Below are 18,132 nucleotides of genomic sequence, written 5' to 3' on the forward strand. Positions count from 1 at the left end.
CTAGAAAGCCCTGTAATTGTGGCAGGCAGGGGGCAGAATGCCTTTGGTGGCTGACAGAGAAAATACTTGATCTGAGCTCTCAAAGCCTTTGTAGACATTTCTATCCAGAGAAGAGCACCAGGGCTGCATTAGCTGAGTCCTTGAGATGCAATTGAGGAGGCAATGCTATTTTCCTTCTGGCTGAGAGAAATGGCAGAGCCTCTTCGTAACAAATGATCATAAATTGCCTGTGTGTCTCCAAGGCAATGAGAGAACTTGCATCTTAGTACTAATGCAAGCTGCTCTCATACTTTTGAGTAGCGCTGGCCACTGGAAAGGAATAAGAGCCTGAGGATAAAGCTACCAAGACATATCTTTATCCCACAAGTAAGTGTAATCAAAAGTGAAAGGCTTTCAGCTGTTAAGTTACTTGAAAAACAGATTCTCAAAACTCAATAATTAAATCGAGAGGGGTGAAAGCCAGAAACTAAGATCAAGTAAAATTTGGAAAATTGGGAAGTGAAAGAATAAACAAGATCTTCAGCTAGAGTTAAACTTGGCTGTCAGCCCTATCCCATTTCTGTTTTTTGGTTTTGTTTTGTTTTAAATCCGGTATAAGGCCACGTGAGATATGACATAGAAATGTGTAATCAAAAAGCATGCGTATATTTGAAGTTTAAATTCATAGAAAAGTTCTCATTCAGTGCTCCTTAAGGCCATTTTGGCCAATTTAGAATTTTTGAGGTATACAATCTAGGTCATCTTTAAGCTTTCTAAGCTGCACTACTCCCTGGTTCTTTATAAATAATTTTGTGAGTACATATCAAATGTACAGATTTACAGTAAGTGATGCTATGTACTTACATTATGCTCATATCTATAGTTATAAAAAGTTCTTTAGAAGCCCTGGAGTGTCATATGTGTTTATAGATTTGCATTTATAAGAATTGGTTTAGCATAACACAGGCATGAAAATCTTGCTACCTGGTATTCTGTGCTTTTTAACAGGCTTGCTGATAACAATGTTGTTGATACCGATGGCAGCACCTATCATTTGGGAGGTGTTTCCAAGGTGCAAGACAATCTGCTAATTACTTAACACAGGTTATCTCACTTAATTCCTTCAACATCCTTATCATGATTATTGCTCTTACTGTTTGAGGAAGCTGAGGTTCAGAGAGGATAATCGGCTTGCTTAAGGTCATATCAATAGTAAATGGAGGATGATGGTTCTAAATGTATATTGCCCTAATTTCAAATGAAAAATATTAACAAAAGAGAGGGAATGATATGATAGAAAATGCTCTAATGTATTTGTTGAGAGATTTGGGATAAAGTTTTCACTTACATTTCATACCACTGTGCAGTGAACTTCTTTTGGTTTTGAGATCCAGCATATGGTCTTCCTTATTCTGGAATATTTATCCTAATCTGGCTTTGATAAAACACCACTTCTAGTGGTCAACCATTTCCATTTAGTGCTATTGACTCAACTCCTAACTGAATGGTTTGGGCCAAATTGGCTTATGGACCATTTTCCAGTCACCAAGTTTGGGATGAATATTTGCTAGAGCTCCTGGAATAAAATTGATCTCCCTCTCTCTTTTTCTGCAGGTACTACCAAAATATGCATTGGCATTTATTGGATAGTATGGTGTTCTATAGAAATATGAGGTTTGCAAATAAAGTAACTATTTGGACATTGTGGAAGGAAAAATCAAAGTTCTCTGTGACCATGTGCCTTTACAGTGTGACTTTTTCACAGCTTTCATCAAGACATGGAAGCTCTTTCCCCACCTCTTGCGTCTAGGCTGTGTTTTCACTTGCTTTGACCAATAGAAGATGAAAGAATGACATTATGCAATTGTAAGCCTTCGATTTTTACTCTTTGGGAACTCTAGCCAAAGACTACCACAAAAGGAAGCCAGTCTAGTCAGCTGGAGACTGATACACCATGAGGAAAAAAGATCCACAGTGATCAAGAAGACGGCCAGCTTCAACTGTCAGACCTACGAGTCTGGCCATCTTGCATCTTCCGACCCAGCTGATCCTGAGCTTAATGAAGCTACATGAGTGAGTGCTATGGAGAAAGCACAGCCAGCCAACATTCTTGTGAGAAATAACAAGTCTTTTTTTTTTCCTTCAGCTTTTATTTTAAGTTCTGGGGTACATGTGCAAGATGTGCTGGTTTGTTACATAGGTGAAGGTGTACCATGGTGGTTTGCTGTACAGATCAACCCATCACCTTGGTATTAAGTGCAGCATCCAATAGCTATTCTTCCTTGTGTTGTCTTTCCTCCCATCCCTTCCCCCGACAGGCCCCAGTGTGTATTGTTCTCTCACATGTGTCCATGTGTTCTCATTGTTCAGTTCCCACTCATAAGCAAGAGCATGTGGTGTTTGGTTTTCTGTTCCTGTGTTAGTTTGCTGAGGATAGCGGCTTCCAGCTTCATCCATGTCCCTGAAAAGTACACAATCTCATTCTTTTTTATGGCTGCATAGTATTTCATGGTGTATATGTACCGTATTTTCTTTATCCAATCTGTCATTGATGGGCATTTAGGTTGGTTCCATGTCTTTGCTATTTTGAATAGCGCTGCAATGAACATACGCATGCATGTGTCCTTATAATAGAATGATTTATATTCCTTTAGGTATATACCCAGTAATGGGATTGCTGGCTCAAATGGTATTTCTGCCTTTAGATCTTTGAGGAATCACCACACTGTCATCCACAATGGTTGAACTAATTTACACTCCCACCAAGAGTGTAAAAGCATTCTTTTCAGAATGAGAGAACATTTTTGCAATCTATCCATCTGACAAAGGTCTAATATCCAGAGTCTATGAGGAATTTAAACAAAGTTATGAGAAAAAAACAACCCCATTAAACTGTGGGCAAAGGACATAAAGAGACATTTCTCACAATAAGACATTCATGTGGTGAACAAACATATGAAAAAAAACTCAACATCACTGATCTTTAGAGAAATGTGAATCGAAACCACAAGAAGATACCATTTCACGCCAGTCAGAATGGCAGTTATTACAAATTGTTGTCTTTTAAGCCACATAGTTTTGTGGTGGTTTATTAAATGGCAATGGTTAACTGATGCAGTCACTATTGCTAGAGAACTGGGTGAGGCGGGGAGAATGATTACAGAGCAAGATAACAGAAAACCAATGGTTGCTTGGTGTTGTCACATGAGTTGCTAAATCAAGCTTTACATGAAGTCTGCCCTATAGCCAGATTTAGAATGTATGAGAGCATCTCCATTCCTCCCTCTCATTGCTTTTTGCAGGAGGTGGGAGAGATGACTTAAACCAATTTTATTTTATTAAGTTGTAATATACAGTAATAAATTACTCTGGTCACCACTTGTGTTGTTGGCTAATTCTTGATACAAAAGCGGTTTTATCATCTCTGGGTCTATTCATCATCTAAGAGACTGATAGAAAGATCATTATGCAAAACAAAGTTCTAAAGTGAGTATCACCCAAAATTAGAGTAAGAAAAAAACTCTAGTAGCTTTCATAGTATCTTTCCTTTGTTCATTTCTGAAATGAGTAAGGCTTTAAATAACACATAACCTACCTAAGTTAGCACTGCAGTTGAGACATTAAGTAATTTTTTTAAATAATCTGATGTTCATGATTTCCTGAGTGTGAAGCTAGTTTTTTTTTTCTTTTTTTTCTTTTTAATTATTATACTTTAAGTTTTAGGGTACATGTGCACAATGTGCAGGTTAGTTACATATGTATACGTGTGCCATGCTGGTGTGCTGCACCCATTAACTCGTCATTTAGCATTAGGTATATCTCCTAATGCTATCCCTACCCCCTCCCCCCGAAGCTAGTATTTTTAAAATAAATGATCCCTTCTAGTTCCTTCTTTGTGGAGAAAAAAAGGACATAATTTTCAATCTGAAATCAGAGGCTAGTACTTCACCCACATAATGGGGCAAGTCCAACATTTGATACAAATGTCAAGTAAAAAGAGTGACAGAAACTAGAAAAACTGGTGAGTTTTTTTTCTGGTTTGTTTTTCTGTTTAACCAATTATATTAAAATACAAATGTATTTGTTTTTGAAACACAATTAGAATAACCTTTGCAAACCTTTAAGCCTCTAGCATTCATTATTTAGATTAAGTCTTTAACACTGAAGTCTGGCTTTTATTCAGTCCTAGTGTGTCCAGAATTGGTTCCTTCCTGTGGGTACTTGCTCTCGCTGACTTCAAGAATGAAGCCACAGACCTTCAAGGTGAGTGTTATGGCTCTTAAAGATGGTGTGTCTGGAGTTTGTTCCTTCAGATGTTCAGATGTGTACAGAGTTTCTTCCTTCCGGTGGGTTCGTGGTCTCACGCTCACTTTAGGAGTGAAGCCACAGACCTTCGCAGTGAGTGTTACAGCTCTTAAAAGTAGTGCAGACACGAAGAGTGAGCAGCAGCAAGATTTATTGTGAAGAGCAAAACAACAAAGCTTCTACAGCATGGAAGGGGACCTGACCGGGTTGCGCTGCTGGCTCAGGTGGCCAGTTTTTATTCCCTTATTTGGCCCTGCCCACGTCCTGCTCATTGGTCCATTTTACAGAGTGCTGATTGGTGCATTTTCACAGAGTGCTGATTGGTGTGTTTACAATCCTTTAGCTAGACACAGAGTGCTGATTGGTACATTTACAATCCTCTAGCTAGACAGAAAAGTTCTCCAAGTCCCCACTCAACCCAGGAAGTCCAGCTAGCTTCACCTCTCACTGGTTTCTATACCTTGGCTTCTAAAACACTCAGTTTGAAAAATATCTCCTTAACAGTGCCATCAAATAGGAATATAACATAATCCAGTTTTTTGGTTTTTTTTTTGATGGAGTTTCACTGTTGTTGCCCAGGCTGGAGTGTGGTGGCATGATCTTGGCTTACTGCAACCTCCGCCTTCCATTTCAAGAGCTTCTTCTGCCTCAGCCTCTCGAGTAGCTGGGATTACAGGCACCCACCACCACGCCCTGATAATTTTTGTATTTTTAGTAGAGATGGGGTTTCACCATCTTGGCCAGGATGGTCTCGAACTCCTGACCTCATGATCTGCCCACTAGGCCTCCCAAAGTGCTGGGATTACAGGTGTGAGCCACTGCCCCTGACCATAATCTAGGTATTAAAAATGATGATCCAACCTTATATAGAAATGGTTGATTCAATAACTAAACTGAGTAAAGTGATAAAGATAAATGATAAAGCTTAGTTTTACTTGTAAGAAAAATAATCAAAGTTGAGTGTAGTATAAATCTCATTCAGTTTTCTGATTAAAAGATTTCAGGCATTCTAAAAGCCGTTCATTTACTTATTAAATGTATTAAGTAAGTACAATATGCCAGGCCCTGTGCTGAAAGGAATGAACAATTTTAAATTTTCTCAGGGAGTTTATAATCTCAGGGATGAGACAGGCAATTTTTCAGAGTCTGTTATAAAGCAACTTGGAATAATGAAAAGTAGTCAATGGGCAGAGTGAATTGGCCGTTCTCCTCAAAAAAAAAAAAACAAAAAACAAAAAACAGAAAAAAACAGTCTTGTTTTCCAGACTTAACACCTTGTTTAGTGTGGGACTTCATTCATGTTGTCCTTATTTCTCCACTGGTGTAGACACCTGCTTGTAGGATTGAAGTACATATGAAAGGGCAGCATCACTGCTAAATACCCATGTCTGGTTCTTCCCTCCTTCTAGTTACTTGGTAGGATTGTATTTGCTGACCTTCTGTGTAGGTGGGAAAAAGTGACTAATTCCAGGACATGAATTACAAATGGAAATAACTTATGCCACTATGGTGTGGAGCTTTTAACTTATGGAACAAATCTCTACATTTTTTTCCTGTTCTCTGGCAATATTCAAGATGATGACTGCTCTGATGTACAGTGTTCCCCCATTGACCTGCAGTGCACATGCAGAGGGAGAAAGGGGTCTACCGTTCTTGATGTAAGTCACTGAGATTTTGGCATTGTTCATTACTAGAACTTTAACCAGGGCATACTGAGTGAAACAAACATTTCGCTTACTTTTGTAACCGTCTACTTATGTGAACTGACATAGCAAGCAAAAGAAAAGGCGGAGTTACAGAGTGACTAGTTAGTCACTCCCCATAGCTGTCCCTATTTTTTCACTTATCTAAATGCCAATCCATGCATTACGAAGTCCTTCTAAATAGGCCCCGAAAGCTACAGATTGTACATACTTACATGTATGCTTCCAATATTACTAAATTATTAGTTAATATGTAATTGTTCACATGATGAATTACGAAGGTACTTATGCAGTATTCGGTGGTTGGAAGGTACTTGGTGTCATAAATGTTTTTAAAATAGACATGCAACAAAGTTTATTTCAGCACTGTGGAAAATGAATTGTGTCTTACTTAAGGCTCATATACTAAGGAAAGTAGATAGTTATAGATTTTATAAGGAAAATTAAATAAAAGGGAAACCAGAAGATAAAAGAAACATTGATCCAAAAAAGCTGAAGTTGGGTGTGACAGCCTCCTCCAGATGTGATACATGGTTTTGTGGTAGGTGTTTGACTACGTACTCCCAAATATAATTTGCTTACAGAATTTCATTATGGAGGGAGGTTTTATTTGTAATGTAAACTTCAGTATGAGAGCTTCTTTTTATTTCTGAAAGTTCTTGGCACTCTGTTTATGTAATGAAGTTTTAGTGCTGTTATAAAAGGCTATAGTTTTGTATTATACTTATCTGTGATTAATCCTTCTTGGGCTGGAGATGGGATGAGATTCTTTCCCTACGGGTGCAATGTGAAGCTTCTGCAGTATTCATGTAAAATACAATTTGACAACAAAATGTAGCTTAGAGAGTGAAAAACTCTGACTGTTCTAAAGGTCTCTTTAAGTAAAGAAACTAAAATAACAATTTCATGTGTAGAAAAATTAAGTTTTAAGAAGGTAGACTCCTGCAACATAAGCTACTTCTTGAGAATATATAAAGCACTTAGGAGCTGTGTTAATTCTTTCAAGATAAATTATTATCTCTTAGTATTAAATAGTTCCCTAAGAGACTACATTTTTTTTTCCTAGTCGTTTCAAACTAAATATATGGTTAGTTGAAATAGCCAGGAGCATAGACCTAAAGGAAACCTAGAAGGTAGTTTTTCTACTATTTATTTTCTTTTAAAAATTATTCGTGGTTGTAATTTTACTAAATGTCTGCATAACTCACTTATAGGACTCATGCCATTTGAGGATGGGTAGCAAACCTATCTCATTTTACCTTTCATTTCTGTTTGGCTCCCAATTATTAAGCACCTTCTCAGATCCTATATGAGACAATGGGATAGCAAAGTTTAATAACATGTGGCTCTTCACTTGAGGAATGCAGTCTAATCTGTGACACAATTCCATGAACAGGAGATTTTGGTGCAATGCAGAAAGGCAATGACTGTGGTAATACTGATACTTTGTGTATTTTTCCTAGGAAAGCATTTCTTCCTCTTTGTTTAGAAGTTGAGTTATGCATGTAATTTTAGTACTCCCTTTCAGAGTGGATTGGAATTTCACAGGGCTGCAGCTACCCAAGCAAAACAACAACAACAACCAAAAGCACAGAGAATTCAGCTATGACACAGAGTAATTACGTTAGAATTTATACCTAAATATACCTATACTTAAAACTGTCTTTGTATATGGATTTAAGATGGCTGGCACCTGACCTTTCCTGAAAATGTTGATAACCCAAAAAGCATATGAAAAAATAACTTATATTTATTCTTACATACACAATATTAATCAGTATGGCTGACATGACACAAACATCATTTAATGAGTGATTTTGAAATGGTGAAATATAAAGTTCTGGAGCTTCCGAGCTTGTCTAAATTTTTAAAATCTCTGATTTGAACAAATTGTCATTTGTATCTTCCAAAAAACACGTTACCTCTGCCGCGGTGAAAAATCCATATGATCTGCACTGTCAGATTTTATTATTATTGTGACAGATACTTTAGCATATAAATCTTAAACTAATGAAAAAATGTCATCTTCTTTTTGGAGCTAAGTGTTCAAAGTGCGTCAATTATTCGATTTGATAGACGTTTCTTCAGAAGGCTTTGGAGGAATCACATATTAAAAATACTTTGTATATGAAACTCTTCTCACTTATATCCACCTCCACAGTGTATAAACTAATTGTAAACCACTTTGGAGAACTAGATTTCCAAAAAAAATTTTACCTGTAGGAACAAAACTCTAAAAAATGCCAAACAATATTTCTTTGCATTTCACCATCTAGCAAGGGATTTCTTTTTATTTATTGGCTTAATATAAAAAACAGAAGGATAATGCAAAAATGTTTAGAGCAGAGGCAAAGTCTTATGTATCTTTGAAGCCATCATATGACAGAGCATAATATGTCGTCAAGTAAACTAATGAATAATTGAGTCTTTGATAGGTGTATACTTTTGGACATTTAAAAACGATAGTGGCAATTATGCATTCTTAGGACAAGCACAATCTAATGTAGTGTTTCTCAAAATATCGTGTGCACAAGATCCAATGGACATCTGTTAAATTGCAGGTTCTCAAACCACATCCTTAGAGATCCTGGTTCAGAAATTTTCTGATGGGGTTCTCTTTAAGTAATTATAATGTAGGCAGTTTGAGAAATATGTGCAGATGAAGAGTGATATGCAAAACATTTAGATTTCTCACTAAACAATTCAAAAATCTTAGGTGTAGCCTGAGTGTATTTGAAATTAAACATGGAATTGGTTAAGAGAACAAAAAAATAACAGAATATATATTTGTTTAATGAAAACCTTCTTCATTAAAATAAGTTTCTTATTATTACGATTGTTTCTATAGGAAAAGGTTGGTTAAAGTTGAGTGTCCAGAGATCAACAATATTCACTTCACTTTTCAAAGTAATTTTCCTAAAACTGATCTGCTGTTTAATATGGAAATATATTAGAACTTGGGTGCAGTGGCTCACGCCTGTAATTCCAGCACTTTGGGAGGCCAAGGCGGGTGGATCCCCTGAACTCAGGAGTTCAAGACCAGCCTGGCCAACATGGTGAAACCCCTATCTCTATTAAAAATACAAAAATTCGCCAGGCATGGTGGCACATGCCTGTAATCCCAGCTACTCTGGAGGCTGAGGCAGGAGAATAGCTTGACCGGGGCAGGAGGAAGTTGCAGTGAGCTAAGATTGTGCCACTGGACTCCAGCCTGAGCTACAGAATGAGACTCAAAAAAAAAAAAAAAAAAACATATTAGGTTTTCTTAGTTCTGAATCATTTTAGTTCACCATGGTCTGAGAGTCAGCATAGGTAGTGCTCTTCTCTGTTAAAGAACAGGCCAAGTATTCTTTGACAATGCAATAGGTAGTATAATTTTTCTCCTCCGGGTAAGCCATGGCTCATGTTTAGTTCCATGAGGAATGCAAAGGTCATAAGCCATTCTCTCATCCTTCTCTCAAGACAAACTCAGAAGGATGTGTATTTGGGCTACAAATCTGAAGCATGAGAGCCATTTTCAGTTTTTAAATCATCCAAGTCATTTCATTACAATGCAATATGTATCCTCTGATTCTAGTTAAATTATTTTAATCTATGTTGAAATATCCTAAATGATACTTACCATGGAAATAGCCCTTCTGATCCTCAGAAAGCCCTAGGTTTAGCAGAATTTCATATTGAATTTCAAGCAAAATTAGTCCATGGAGGTTTCCCTCTAAAAAGTAGTTTCATGGCCATATGACAGACACTGTACAAGCCATACTGCTGCTTTAAAAAATTATAAAACATTAACATATTAAAGGTCTGAAGTTGCCCTGGGAATAAGAAACTTCTTTAAAATTGTTTAACTCAGCAATTCCCATATAAATTTGTCTATGTAGTCTTTCTTTTATTTAATATCTATTGATTGCATATGACAATCTGTTATGTAGTACAGCTTTCTCCTCAGAAGAACTCAGGTCAGTTCTTAATTCCTTTGGAGTATGAAGTCACAAGCTCATTCTCCCAACCTTCCCTCAGCATACATCCCCTGTCCCCCCCCCCCCACAAAATGAGCATATGGCTATAACTATAAAAGAAGAAGATAGACACTTCGGTTTTTAAAATCACTTTAAGCCATATTAATATAGTATAAATACGAGAAAGCTGTCTTTGAAGAATTAGTTGTTAAAAATATCTCTATTTCTTCTACACAAAATCAAACACCAAATCCAACTGAATCAACGTTACTTTAGAATATTCCTTTCCAATCTCAATGCCACAACTCTAAATCCATCACTTCTCATCCAAAGCATTGTGGTTTCTTTTGGGGTGTTCCCTCTGGTCTATACTTTGCTTCTATATGAATCTATCTATAGATACTATTGTTAGTGCCAAAGTCTCATTTAAATATTTTTAATGTCTCCCTTTTACATAAAGAGTAAAATTATAATTCCTTAGAATTTTATTTACAGTACTTTTGACATCATCCCAACTAACTTTTTTAGTTTTATTACTCTACACTTCTACATTCATATTTTATTACATCGCTAGTGAGTCAGATGACCAACAGTATTCATCACCTAAGTGGGCACTTATAGTTTGGTTATTCCAGATCTCTCTTTTTAAATAGGAACTGTAGCCTTTTATAGTACCCTGTTCCCCTGGTTGCATCCATGTTACTCAAGTAAGTCACCTCTCTTCAACATGACTTTAATGTTTTAGAAAAATTGACTGGACTTGGGGTGAGACCCTAAACAAAATGGACCAACGTCCATTTTCCTTATGGAATTTGGAATTGATGTTAAAAGATTTCAGGCCTAATTTGGTCAATCTTTTAATGAAAGAGAGGAAACCCTCAAGCTTTGGAAGCCATGTAGACAGGAAAACAAGAGGAATTAGTCTGCAGCACAACAGTAAAATGAAGAAGACCTGCAGAAAGAAACAAATATGAAACAGAACAAGAATCTTCCCAGTATTCAGGCATTCAATTCCAGTATTCCTGATGCCTTGCATGCGGTAACTATAGCCTCAAAACGTAATCTTTATTCTTTAAGCAAGCTCATGTCAGTCTCAGTACCTTTGCAACCAAAAGATCAAGAGCTACCACAAGGTGTATAGTGATGCACGTACACACATACACACATCCCACAATACTTTACCTGTGCTGGGAATGGTTCTCTCTCTGTACTTCTCATCAAAATCCTAACATAGTTTAAAACCTACCTCTTGCTTAAAGCCCATTCTAACTTGCCATTCACAAACACTCTCTCTATGCTCATGGTATTTTAGGTAGTTTGATAAGACATATTATTACATTATATATATTTGAAGACAAGATTATGTCAAAGTTATCTTGTATAACCTAAAGCTTGTACCTAACATCATGTTTCAAACCAGGGAGGCATTAATAATAATATTTTTACATTGCAGAAGAAATAAGATTCCATAAAGTTACTTATTTCCTCTACAGACATAAACCTCTTGATAGGAAAACTAGCTCAAAATAAACTTCATAGAAGCCATAATGATCATTCCTGGAGAGTACACTTGTTTTCCTGTTGTTATCTCAGTGAATGCTTCAGCCTCAAAGATGATAAAGCTTTGATTGTCTATTTGGAACTCCCTAGAAATGGTGAGAAATCACATCCAGATTGTTAGTATAAATATGAGAAATATCAAAGGCACATTGTTGCAAGATCCTAGTTATTATGGTGAGGGAGGGAGTCCACTAGGTGTGTAGAGTCCCCAGCTGTGTTTGAAAGACCCCTTCCAATGTACGATGAATGAAATGCTTTTATATAACATCTTTAAAATGTATGCCTAATTCAAAAGAGTAAAATCCAACATACATTAGAAAGTTGATAGATGAATAATTGTTAAATATGCCTTCCAGAAAGTAAAGGTCACCTGAACTTACCATCAATGGTATTTAACATCTGAATCGATTTTGACAGTTTAAGCAATGCATCAACCAAAAGTGAAACTCATCTGAAAAAATCAAATTATTTACAGAGTACCTAAAATAGAGACTTGGCTTCTCACCTCTGCCTCTGCAATAGCACTTGCTGAGTAAGGAACCAGGGTCTGCTCCAAGAAGATAAGTCTTGATAAGAGGGAAGAGAGCATGGGCTGGAAGGGTAGAAAATTATTTCCTGCTATGGACTCTACCGAGAGTTCAATTAGCCTATATTTGTGTTTGTAGCAGGCATAATTCTACGAAAGTGGAAGGACAGAAAACACATGGCAAAAAAGTGAAAGACAAATCATCTCTCTGACCATATATGAGGTACCAGACAATGTGATCATTGCTTTACTGATGTTTCATTTTATATATATATATATATACACATATACACAAGATAAGAAGTAAATAACATTATACAATCTATTCCTATTTAATTATGTAATTCTAATTTGGAGGTTCTTTAGAAGTAGCAGTGTTCGTCATGTTCCTCAAATAGTGGTTATGATGATTACAGAATAAAATTTAAGTTAATGATGGTAAAAGGCCCCCAAATACATACATACATACATATATATGTATATAAGTGTATATATATGTATATAAGTGTATATATGTATGTATTTGTATACTTATATATGTATATAATATATATAATGTATATATAAATACATATATAAGTATATAGGTATATATAAGTATATACGTATATATGTATATAGGTATATATATACTTATATAAGTATATATACACACTTATATAAGTGTGTGTGTATATATATATATATATATGTGTGTGTTTGGGGGCCTTTTATTGTAAGTAAAATATTGTAAATATCTGTTCTTTACCAGTCACTAAAAGTCAAGCTAAGTGTAAGGCTGCCCATTGTTAACAGAAGCAGGTCATTAGTAAGCATTTATTAAATAAAAACACCCTTGTCCCTAAGCGAAAAATTTACCCTAAGTTCTCCCAGTCATCTTGTATTTGTAAAACTGTCCTATGGCTGACTGAGACTGTCAGAACAGAAACTTATCTTTCCAGGATTTTCTTAAATACTCCTATTAAGTAGGTGTATTTGTCCATTCTCATGCTGCTAATAACTACATACCTGAGATTGGGTAATTTATAAAGAAAAAGAGGTTTAATGGACTCACAGTTTCACATGGCTGGGGAGGCCTCACAATCATGGCAGAAAGCGAAGGAGGAGGAAAGGCATCTCTTACATGGTGGCAGGCAAAAGAACGTGTGCAGGGTAACTACCCTTTTATAAAACCATCAGATCTCGCGAGACTTATTCATTATCAGGAGTACAGTGTGGGGAAAAACCCGCCCCTATGATTCAATTACCTGCTACTCCCCCTCATGACATGTGGGGATTATGGGAGCTACAATTCAAGATGTACAATCATTGAACAAACGAACCTTTGATAGCGGCTGCACCATCAGCATGTCCTGATCCAACATCGAGGTCGTAAACCCTATTGTCAATATGGACTCTAGAATAGGGTTGTGCTGTTATCCCTAGGGTAACTTGTTCCGTTGGTCAAATTATTGGGGACACAGTCAAACCATTTCAGTAGGGTTTAATAATAGTTGAGACAATGATATTGATCATTTGATAAATTAAGTAGCTTGCCTCAGCTTTGCCCAGCTATTAGCAAGCAATAGGCTCAAGATTTGTATGGTGAGGATAGTGTACTATGAACTATCAATATGTAACCCTGTCCCCTAAATCGTGGTTTACTGACTTCTACTTTATCTACCAATATCTAAGAGCCTAGGTGCTTCTGTTTATACATTGTGTGACAATTAGGTTTTTGTCTTAAATACGATTTTTATCTGAGAGGTAAACAGAGGGCTTTTCCCCACATATACACAAGATAAGAAGTAAATAACATTATAAAATCTATTCCTATTTAATTATGTAATTCCAGTTTGGAGGTTCTTTAGAAATAGCAGTGTTCATCATGTTCCTCAAATGGTGGTTGTGATGATTACACAATAAAATTTAAGTTAATGATGGTAAACTATCTAAAAAAATAAAAGAACTGGAGGTGTTTTAAGTACAAGAGGCCAGCTGCTATATTTTATATAATCTACTTCCTGAGATACTGCAACATTATAGACAAGAGACCTCTTTACAAGTAACAGACTTATACTAATATAAAGAACAGGAGGTTGATCTTTAAAATAAAAGACATTTTAAGATATTACTGAAAATCTGAAGTAAGTGGTGGAATGATAAAACAGGTTGAGAAAAACATTGTATATATATATATATATATATATATATATATATATATATACACACACACACACACACACACACATACATGCATAATGTTTTTCTCAACCTGTTTTTTTCATATAACATATATATGTCATATATATATATATATGCCCCATAAAGACAGACCAAGATGCGTTCATATTCTAGGAAGCAAATGTTCATGCATGCATCCCTGAAAGGCCCAGAGACAAAGTCTCTATATAAAAAAGAACAAGTAGTAAAACATGGATTTGAAAATGAGGAATTAATTGAAAATATACATACAAAATGTTTACCACTTCAACACACAAAGTTAAGCACATCTCTCCCACAGCACCAATGTACAATGTGTAGCATTTAAATTAAATTAAATTCTGTTAAAAGATAATAATAATAATAATGATATAAAATAGTGAGGACCTCCTGTTCTGGCAACATGTTTGTATGAATATACACAACTTCCCAGAATGAAAAGCTTCAAAATGTTGACAAAAAATGTTTAGCAAATCTTCATATGTGAAGAGCTGGCAAAGCAAAAAATTAAGGCCAATTTATAATCCCAAATGGAGGAAGGAGGTTCCTGAATCCTTCTCTATCCTGAGGGTATCTGCAGATCTGTTTTACTCCAGTGGCCCATGCTTGGGGTGCCAAGCCCTGTAGCAAGCCATACTTCAGTCTACATACTGCAAGAAACATTAAGGGGATATGCTGTCTATGAGTGAATTAGTAGAAAAATGGATTCCCTTCACTAAGGAAGGCTCTGAGGAATTGTGCTTGCCCTCACTTACCTTGGATGGAGGTAAAATAGTACCTGTATGAAAATACAGTAATCCAGTCCTGTCAAGGGTTTGCCACTGTCTATGTACCCTGAAGCTCTTAAGACAGGAATGTAGTTGGAAGTGATCATTGGTTCATGTGTCTTCTGATACCTGGAAGAAGCAATGAAAATAAATGACCTATGGTTACATATATCAATACCAATGAGTCACATAAAAAGTATGTTATATGAAAAATCATTGTCACAGAATAATACCCACAATATATTTTCACAAACAAACATATGAAACAAAACAACACATTATTCAAGCACATGTACACATATTGTGAAACTCTAAGAAACCTCTGGAGAGCAACATGGGTCACGATGCTATTATAAAAGTACACTGGGGACTTCAAAGATATTTAAATGTATTTTTAAATCAGGTTGGTGTTGACATAGATATTCTTCTTTATTATTCTTTACAAAGTATTTTTGTACTACAAATATTATTTTGAATATAGGATGTACTATAGTAATTAAAAATTTATTATCAAATCGTCAAAGGCAATAAAAAACATGCTCCCTCCATGGCTACTCCCCATAAATTTGGCTCTGCCAGTCAATAAGCCTCCCCACATGCACAGAGCTCCCCACTCAGCATGCCTCTTAATTTATTCATAACCACATTCAAACTGCAAAGGTTCTCCAGATATGTGAGAAAATGCTGCAACCTGAGAGAGAAAAAGTAAAGAGAAAAAAAAAAAAAAGACCCTAGGACAAACATGAAAGAGGGAATTAAATGTAATCAAGATAAAAGAATTTTACACTAAATTCTATTAAAAACGTTCCAAAATTTTTAATAATGAATGTCATCTATAAAATGAGAATGCCCTGAAAATGTAAAAACTAGAGCAGATTGGAAATTAACAATGCAATTACTGAAATAAAATAAACACATTATTTTATGATTGTAGCATTCAGTTGAGCTAATCACAGAAATTGGAGCAGAAAAATAAGGAAATAATAGAAAAGAAAACTTAAAAGACAAAATGAATCAAACCCAAATTTTAATCATTCTATTATTAGGAAGATCAGAGAGAGAGAGAGAGAGAGAGGAGAAAAAATTAATCAAAAGATATTATCAAAAAATATTAAAAGGTAATTTCTCAGAGCTAAAGGGACATTATTTTCAGACTAGAGACCCATTAATCAAGCAGGGATAAGATGATAAAAAGAACCACACCTAGTTATAGAATTTGCATTTCATAACAATCTAGATAAAAAAAGAACTAGAAAGCACTCAAACAGGAGAAATGTAAACTCACCTAAAAAGTAAAATCAGACTTTAATTAATATTTCTTTAATGGAACTAAAAATATAGGAATAATACCTTTAATGTTCTCAGAGAAAATTGTTTTAACTTAGAATTCTATACTCATCCAATGTGATACTACTCTATCAGGTTTTGTCTGTCATATTCTTATTTTAGGGAATTATTTGAGATCATTCTTCAGAAAAAGGTAGGAGGAAATCAAGAAACCAAAAGGCAAGAGATCTACAGAACAAAGGAATACACCCAGGATTCTGTAGTAAATGTTTTAATAGAGTCCTATGACTATAATCATTATTTACAGATTTTCCCATATATAGCACAGGAGAGAAGGTAAATATTAACAACTTGATGCTGTAAAAGTAAAAGAATATGTAACCGGGGAAATTTTTTCCACCAGTATTAATCTCAAAGATTTAACTTACATGGCAGTATTCTTATTGCCTTCCACATCTGCATGAGGTTAAAGTTTAAAGAACACCTCTGATGGGCTATTCGTGTCCTGGATCACCCTGTGGAGTTAGCTGTGGCTTTCTTAGTTCAGCAACTTAATTAGATCTTTTCCTCTGTTCAGTCTTGCTTTCTCTCACTGCTTTCTACAAGTGTTGGTTCCTTAAAAACGTCTTACATGTCACATTTTATCTCAGCTCCTGCTTCTGAAGAATACAACCTGTGGAAGCAGGTGCTAAGAGTGGTCCAGGAAAGCGAGTAATAAAATGGGATTATGGAGAGGAATCACTTTCCACCCAGTCATTAGCAATATGTAGATCCCAGAGGACATCTCTGGCACAAGCGAACAGTTCAAGTTAAAAAAAAAAAAAACAACTCTCACTGATAGTGAATTGGGATGGCATAGAAGCGAAAGGGAATGCACTAGCTGGTGCAATTTGTCGGACTTTTGAAAAGTACAGGCAAAGAGTAACTATAAAGATGGTGGGTTGATACCTAGGTAGAGATGATAAAACGTTCCGGGGATTAATGAGCAATTGAAGACTGAGTGTGAAAGCCAGAGCTTACGAAAGAGATTCTCGTCTCCTGTAGGGAGAAACAAAAAAAAACTGGGGACTCGACCCAGAAGTCACTATTCTAGAGTATGTTAAATGCCCAACCAAAGATGTCTGTTATACTAAGGTCATGGCCCTAATTGAAAATGAATGAGAATAGAGCCACTTGGGAGGATGCTCCAAAATATTTTGAATTGTCCCATATTTCTGAAACTTCTGAGGCTGAAGAAGTGGCTCATCCTTCCCAGTTAACATTACTTTCTTGCCTTGAAGACAACCCCAAAGCCTCTATCCTTCCAGACAATGTTTCCCTCAGGATCTGCTCTGCCATCCATCCACTTTTTGTGAAGTTGCTGAGTAACCCCACTAGGTACATGTTGGGTGCAATAAGGGAATGAAGGGACTAAATTCCAAGGGGGCAAAAAAAAAAACAAAAAACCTAGCCATAATGTACTGGCAGAATCCTGAGGAGCATATTTCTTAGGGTTTGATCAAACAGGCTGGATTAAATGATGATATGGGAAGAGTTTATTGATTTGGAAGTATTATCTTGCATGTTCTTAGGGTCCTAGGGGATGTAGTATACTCAATATTAGGATGGCTCCAACAGAAACAAAAGAAATCTGAAAACCCATAGGAAGTAAAGTTAAATGACGGAACTTTTTTTTTTTTTTTTTTTTTTTTTTTTGGTCACGGGGGAAGAGTGCAAAGGCTCCAGGGGTGTGGAAATGATGGAGTGGAAACGTTGCAGAAGGCCAGAAGATGTTCCAAAAATTGTGGTTCACAGAAACACTGGGAGAATTCTCCATTTACCATGAAAATAAGAAACACATAGAT

General features: G+C 36.0%; 1 long non-coding RNA gene across 2 annotated transcripts in view, besides 1 other annotated feature; it reads left to right on the forward strand.

Moving 5' to 3' along the window:
- LOC105374548 (uncharacterized) overlaps positions 1–2,161 on the forward strand; it is a 49,283-nt gene extending 47,122 nt beyond the window's left edge. For both annotated transcript variants that reach the window (XR_925517.2, XR_925518.2), the window contains one exon: positions 1,594–2,161. This is a non-coding gene — a long non-coding RNA (uncharacterized LOC105374548). The remainder of the gene's footprint in view (positions 1–1,593) is intronic.
- Positions 13,305–13,505: a silencer, noted in NCBI's record as "peak5015 fragment used in MPRA reporter construct". NCBI's record gives its function as "represses an SCP1 promoter by STARR-seq MPRAs in K562 erythroleukemia cells {active_cell/tissue: K562}" and the evidence as "EXISTENCE:reporter gene assay evidence [ECO:0000049][PMID:32103011]".

The sequence above is a fragment of the Homo sapiens genome, chromosome 4, assembly GCF_000001405.40.
Source record: "Homo sapiens chromosome 4, GRCh38.p14 Primary Assembly".
NCBI lineage: Eukaryota > Metazoa > Chordata > Mammalia > Primates > Hominidae > Homo > Homo sapiens.